The following is a 7,320-nucleotide window of genomic DNA, read 5'->3' on the forward strand; positions in this document are numbered from 1 at the left end:
AAATTAATAAATAATTAAATAACATTATAATAAAAATTGTCTAAGTCAACATTAGACCCCTAAGAGTCTGGTGGGGTTTTTTGTTGTTGTTTCTCCTTTAAAAGGAGTCTATACCTTGTTCAAGATTGAGAAGCATTGATCTAAAGCCTCCCACCTCAAACAATTGGGCAATTGGTGTAATTAGAACTCTGCTGCAACAGCAGAAACACTTTGGCTTGTAGGCTCCCACAATGGCCAAGTAAGCCTTGGCCATTTGAAATGGAAACTGACATTAATTGTCCAATATTGGCAAAAGGCCTTACACATTAAACCTCATTTAATCCTCACAACTGCCATTGTCCCAATTTAACAGATGGAAACAAGCAGGCTCCGAGAGGTTAAGGAAGTTACACAAGGTCCGATCCAGGTTACTGCTGCAGTGAGATTCTAACCTAAATATGTAGAGCTCCAAAAGCCAGCCACTCACTCCTTTTTACACTTTTTAGATTTTTTTTTTATGCTTGCATCAAAGTAATATATGGCTGCAGTTTAAAGTACAAAAAGGGGTCAGGTGCGGTGGCTCATGCCTGTAATCCCAGCACTTTGGGAGGCTGAGGCGGGTGGATCACGAGGTCAGGAGTTGGAGACCAGCCTAGTCAAGATGGTGAAACCCCATCACTACCAAAAATATAAAAATTAGCTACGCATGGTGGCGGGCACCTGTAATCCCAGAGGCTGAGGCGGAGAATTGCTTGAATCTGGGAGGCGGAGGTTGCAGTGAGCTGAGATGGCGCCACTGCACTCCAGCCTGGGCGACAGAGCGGCGGTCTCAAAAAATAAAAAATAAAATAAGGTTCCACAAGGTTGATGAGGAAAAGCAGTGATTCTCTACCTCCCTGTCTCCTGCATCCCCCTCTCCAGAGGCAATTGCTGTCATGTATCTGTGTGTGCTTTTCATGTTTGCTTTTATGTTTCTATATAACATGTCTATATTGCTAACTTCTTCATTTTTCAGTTTTAGGTGCCAAAAAATAACTTCCCACTGCAGAAGAGGAGGTTAATTCTCTTTCTCCCTGCCTCTCCCACACCCCTGTCCATACCACACTCCCTGTCCCCCTCTCCTTCCAACATTCTTATGTCATAATTTTTGCCTGGTCAGCATTAGGGTTTACATCACAATGATTCTTCACAGCTGAGTCATACTGTAAACCATGACATTGCTTTTTCTTTCTTATACAACTTTTGTTTCCCTGATAATTATTTTATTTTTTCCTTTTGCTTTGTTTTTCTTTTCTGGGTTTTATTTTAATCATTAGTTCAATGTGTGCTCTTTGGTATTTGTATTCTCTTAGGATGTTCAGACACATCACATAGTCTCCCAATTTTATCTCCCTGAAGATTCTCTCCTGGAGCTTTATGATGTGTCCCACCTTGGACTAGCTGCTCTCAGAGATTCCCTTCACTATCGCTCTGGAATTTCCCTTTAACAGTCCCTGTGTGAATTCTGCTTCCTGTATCCATTGCTTCCTCTTTCTGGTTTACTGACAACATTCTAATAGCTTTCTGAGAAAGGGAAGAAGACAAGTAAATGTTTTGAAAACTTGTAATTCCCAAAATGTCTTTTTTTTTCCCTACCATCATACATGATAAAAGTTTTGTTAGATATAAAGTTCCGTGTTAGTAATCATTTTCCTTTAGAATTTTGAGGACATTATTCTTTTGCTTTCTAACTTCCAGTGTTGTTATTAAAAAGTCTGGATATCTTTTGTTGTGACTTTTTTTTCTTTCTCTGGAAGCTTGTAAGACCTTTTCATCTCCATGATATTATATTTTTCTATGATATGCCTTAGTCTGGGTTTGTTTTCATCCTTTTTGTTGGATACCCAGTAAATCCTTTTGAATCTGAAAACTCATATCCTCTGGACTAGGTATAATTTTAAAATTATTTCCTTGTAAGTTTCTATTTTATTTATATTTATTTAGTTTTTGGAACTCCTGTTCTTTGGATATCATATCTTCAGGGTTGTCTTTTAATTTTACCTTTGCTTTTCTATTTTCTAACTCTTTGTCTTTTTGCTTTACTTTCAGGACTAGTTTTATTGTCCAGTCTTCTATTGCCTTTTTCATATTTTTTAATTTCCAATAATTCCTTTTTGTTTTCTAAATGTTCATTAAAAATAATATTTTGTCCTTGTTTCATAACTGCAATATTTTACCTGATGGTATTCAAATATTTTGGGTTTTTATTTTTATTGTATAATCTTTGTTTCACTCAAGTTGCTTTCTTCTATTCATTTGATTCACTTACTGTTTTAATGTTAAAGGCCTTTTTTTTTTTTCAGCCTTGGTTGTTTACTTGTATCTAAGACAGAGGTGTCCAATATTTTGGCTTCCCTGGGCCACAATGGAAGAAGAATAGTCTTGGGCCACACATAAAATACACTAATGCTAACAATAGCTGATGAGCTAAAAAATAAAAATAAAAATACGCCGGGCACGGTGGCCCACACCTGGAATCCCAGCACTTTGGGACGACGAGGCAGGCGGATCACAAGGTTAGGAGATCGAGACCATCCTGGCTAACACGGTGAAACCCCGTCTCTACTAAAAATACAAAATAAATAAATAAATAAATAAAACTAGCCGGGCATGGTGGCGGGCACCTGTAGTCCCAGCTACTCGGGAGGCTGAGGCAGGAGAATGGCGTGAACCCAGGAGGCGGAGCTTGCAGTGAGCCGAGATCACACCACTGCACTTCAGCCTGGGCAACAGAGTGAGACTCCGTCTCAAAAAAAAACAAACAAAAAAAAAAACAAAAAAAACCCACGTCAACTCCTGCCCATGTCCCTATGTATACATTTTATTATTTTAGTTAGTAGGGAAAATAAAATGTTCAGTGAAAAGAAATAAAATGCCCTTAAACGCACTAAAGAGTTTCAGGAAAAGTAGTTGAATTTTGAATCCAGTTATTTTCACTAGCAACACAAATAGTTAGAAGTGTCAGGGACTCACTGTGAGAGAGAGAAAAAAAAGAATTAATTTTTTTATCAGAAGGTAATAGGATGAAGCCTTGCTAACTCAATTCCATTACTCTGTAGAATTAACTTCCGCAGGTCAGATGCTGCTTGCATTGACTACAAGCCAAATAGGGTCAACACAGATTGGGCGTAAAATACATGAACATTTCCTGATACAAGAGAATGCAGGTTTAGACTTCCTTTTTTAGCTTTTCTTTTTCTCTACATTTGTCTACTCCCCTCCAAAAAGACCCACCAAACACCTGTCTTGCTAATGTGCTAGTAGAAAAACTCACTAAAAGAGATACTCCAGGTTAAATATCCTTCTATGTATTAGTTGCACAAAACACGACTACCCATTTTTGAGATTTTGGCAAATTGTGTTTTCCAACCAGGGCTACTGGGACCTGTTCCTCCTCATGCTTTGCTTCTGCTCTTCACTAAAGTTATTTATTCTTTAAGCAATTGTGTACTGCCTTCTTTTTATAGATAATTAGATCTGTCAGGTATGTCCCCCATTGAGAATGAGGTTCATCATAAATAAGTTTATTAATCTCAAGGAATAAGAGAATGGTTGCATTTACTAAGAGTCTCAAAAGCACACTGTTCAAAATGCAAACTGTTTAAAATGACTGTGATGGTGGTTAGCACAGTGTCACGTACGGTGTGAATACCACAGCGTGTTATGTTCTGGAGACAATTGGCGAGGGAATTTGTCAGTCTCCTCATCTTAGAACATTCTTTGGGCCTCCAACTTTCTTCTTTTCCACATTTTTCTTTCTCTTGCCTTTTCCTTCTTGATCACCTATGCTCTTGATCAGGCAAAAATGAGGAGTCATCGGGGATACAATTGCTGATACTAAATCTAGCATTGTTTTGAAGTGTGGCCTGACTCAGCTGTGGGAATTACAGTTTGTATCATGGAAACAGAGTGATAAGAAGTCAAAGGTCCTGGGTTCTAATTCTGGCCTTAACATTTCTTATCCTTTTCACTTTGGGCATGTCTGTTGTGGCATGGGGAAACATGCCCAGACTTTGCAGTCAGATAGACTGAATTTGGATCCTAGGTCATACTTTCTACCTGAGTGGTACCTGTGGAGAGTTGTCAGTACAATGAAAACATCCTTTGCTTTGTCAACATGACTTCTTCTTGCCATCGGCCTACTTCTTCTCTCTGTCTGAGTGTTAAGAAGGTAGAGTTAGAGAAGCACTTTGTCCTTTTGCCTGTCCTTTTTCATCCTTCTTTTTCCTAAACTCTGCATCACATACCACAGTGCTCCATGGCATCTCCTTTTTTTTTTTTTTTTTTTTTTTTAAATGGAGTCTCGCTCTTGTCGCCCAGGCTGGAGTGCAATGGTGTGATCTCAGCTCACTGCAACCTCTGCTCCTGGGTTCAAGCGATTCTCCCGCCTCAGCCTCCCAAGTAGCTGTAGCTGGGATTACAGGCATCTGCTACTATGCCCAGCTGATTTTTAGTAGAGACAGGGTTTCACCATGTTGGCCAGACTGATTTCGAACTGCTGACCTCTGTTGATCTGCCTGCCTCGGCCTCCCAAAGTGCTGGGATTACAGGCGTGAGCCACTGCGCCCAGCCAGCACCTCTCTTTTTGACTGTGCATGCAGCATGGACAGCCACCCCTGTCCTTGGCTACCGAGCCTTTTCCCCATTGCCTAGGTTGGACCACCCCCACTTTCTCTCCCAGGGCTTTCTTCTCCCAGGCCAAATGATTCCAGTGCTAATTGTGGGACAATTATCCCAGCTCTAAATGAAAGAATAAATAGAATGTTAAGGAGAAGAAATGGTGGAGTGGTGGCACTGGCAGTGACTAAGCAGGAAAGGACAAGAAAAAGACAGTAGCAGAGAGGCAGTGGTGAAGACAAAGCTTCCACCAGTACATATGGAAAAGTTAAAGAGTCTGAAACTTTTCATAAAATGTATTTAATTATTTTACTCTGAGATTATGGCCTCTCAACAGTTTTTGTGTTAGCATGTTCTTTCTTTTATGAGTTGATGGTAATACAATAAAGAGTTAGTAAGTTGGTTTGTAATGTGATTATCATTAGTTTTAATGACATTGTAGTGGTCTGGGAAATCTCAATGGCTGCCCGAGAGGTTAAGAACCCTTATTGGCTTTGGAGTCAGAGTCTAGGCTTAAACACTACTTTGTGTCTTTGGGCAAGTTACTTAAACTTCTGGGTCTTAATTTCCTCATCTGAAAATAATAATGCATGCCTCATAGAGATTAAAGAAGATAATGAAAGGCACATGCTTAGTAGAAGGTTGAGAACACAGAACTCAATAACGTTAGCTTTTATTTTTATTAATATAAAGATAAAAGGAATTTATTTGTATTTGGATACCGGTTAAGGCGAGTAGTAAAAGCCTAATGTGTGGGAGTGAGTTTTAAGCATTGGCAGTTTGGCAAACATTTAGGGGGACTGGGTTGATTTTTCTCTAGTGTAACTGGCAAAGTGATGGACTTGGTGGCAGATTCATGTTTAAATCTCGGCTCTGCAACCTCCTAGCAGAGAGACCTTGATGGTTGACCTTGGACCCTCATTTGAAAGATGGTAATACACCGGGTTCTTTAGAGGTACTATGTTAAGTCATGAGTAATAGTAATGACCCAGCACGGTGTAGAGATGTTGGCATAATTAATCCTTACAACAACCCTTTAAGGCAGGTTCTATTAATATTATTATTCCCAGTTAAATATAAAATGATCAAAGATAAGCTTAGTTGAGAGAGTGGCCTTTGAAGCCAACCTGGGTTCAAGGTGCCACCTATGTGACCTTCTGCAAGTTACTTGACTCTCTTTGAGGAATAATGATCCTCTTATGGAGACATTCTTTTTTTTTTTTTTGAGACGGAGTCTTGCTCTGTCGCCAGGCTGTAGTGCAGTGGCCCGATCTCAGCTCACTGCAACCTCCGCCTCCCAGGTGGACCTCGTGATCCACCCGCCTCGGCCTCCCAAAATGCTGGGGTTACAGGCGTGAGCCACCGCGCCCGGCCTGGCCCTCTTATGGAGACATTCTGATGATGCTCATAAGTGAATTAAATCTGGGAGGAGATACAATGTGCAAAGATAATGGCATCTATTTGGAGATGGAAAACTTTTTCCTAGTGTTTACATTCTTAATTTATGTTCCTAACAGGCCACAGTTTGAATTTGTTGAAATTTTTTTTCTTTTTTCAGAGACAAGAGTTTTGCTCTTGTTGCCCAGGCTGGAGTGCAATGGTGTGGTCTTGGCTCACTGCAACCTCTGCCTCCCAGGTTCAAGCAATTCTCTTGCCTCAGCCTCCCAAGTAGCTGGGATTACAGATGCCCACCACCACACCCAGCTAATTTTTTTTTTTTTTTTTTTTTTTTTGAGACGGAGTCTCACTCTTGTCGCCCAGGCTGGAGTGCAATGGCGTGATCCTGGCTCATTGCAACCTCTGTCTCCCGGGTTCAAGTGATTCTCCTGCCTCAGCTTCCCGATTAGCTGGGATTACAAGCGCCCGCCATGACGCCCGGCTAATTTTTTGTACTTTTAGTAAAGACAGGGTTTCACCATGTTGGCCAGGCTGGTCTCAAACTCCTGACCTCAGGTGATCCGCCTGCCTCGGCCTCCCAAAGTGCTGAGATTACAGGCATGAGCCACCGCACCAGGCTTTTTCTATTTTTAGTAGAGATGGGGTTTCATCACATTGACTAGGCTGGTCTCAAACTCCTGACCTCAGGTGATCCACCCACCTCAGCCTCCCAAAGTGCTGTTGAATTTTTATATATACACATAGTAAGAATTTATTTATTTATTTATTGAGACAGAGTCTTGCTCTTGTTGCCCAGGCTGGAGTGCAATGCTGCGATCTTGGCTCACCACAACCTCCGCCTCCCGGGTTCAAGCAATTCTCTTACCTCAGCCTCCCGAGTAGCTGGGATCGCAGGTGTGCGCCACCAAGCTTGGCTAATTTTGTATTTTTAGTAGAGATGGGATATCTCCGTGTTGGTCAGGCTGGTCTCGAACTCTTGACCTCAGGTGATCTGCCCACCTCGGCCTCCCAAAGTCCTGGGATTGCAGGTGTGAGCCACCGTGCTCAGCCCATAGTAAGTATTTAATGAACATTTGTTTGCTGAGTTAGTATCCAGTTTGGAACTGACATACATTCCAAAAATAAATGTGCTAAGACACCATCTCAGCCCTCCAGTATCAGGCAGTCTCTTAGGGGAGACAGACACACATCACACTGGAGGGAAGTAAGCTTAGGAGATATACTTGAGTGCTCAGAGTTGGAGCAGCAGGCTAGGGGTAAAGGGGTAGTGTCGAGGAGGGGTGGCCA

The 7,320-nt window shown here is 41.4% G+C and overlaps 2 annotated features.

Moving 5' to 3' along the window:
* Window positions 674-1,186: an enhancer, noted in NCBI's record as "H3K27ac-H3K4me1 hESC enhancer chr3:181499765-181500277 (GRCh37/hg19 assembly coordinates)". NCBI's record gives its function as "activates a minimal SCP1, AML or CMV promoter by ChIP-STARR-seq in primed H9 embryonic stem cells {active_cell/tissue: H9 hESC(primed)}" and the evidence as "EXISTENCE:reporter gene assay evidence [ECO:0000049][PMID:30033119]".
* Window positions 4,600-5,100: an enhancer, noted in NCBI's record as "H3K4me1 hESC enhancer chr3:181503691-181504191 (GRCh37/hg19 assembly coordinates)". NCBI's record gives its function as "activates a minimal SCP1, AML or CMV promoter by ChIP-STARR-seq in primed H9 embryonic stem cells {active_cell/tissue: H9 hESC(primed)}" and the evidence as "EXISTENCE:reporter gene assay evidence [ECO:0000049][PMID:30033119]".

The sequence above is a fragment of the Homo sapiens genome, chromosome 3 (genome assembly GCF_000001405.40).
Source record: "Homo sapiens chromosome 3, GRCh38.p14 Primary Assembly".
Taxonomy (NCBI): domain Eukaryota; kingdom Metazoa; phylum Chordata; class Mammalia; order Primates; family Hominidae; genus Homo; species Homo sapiens.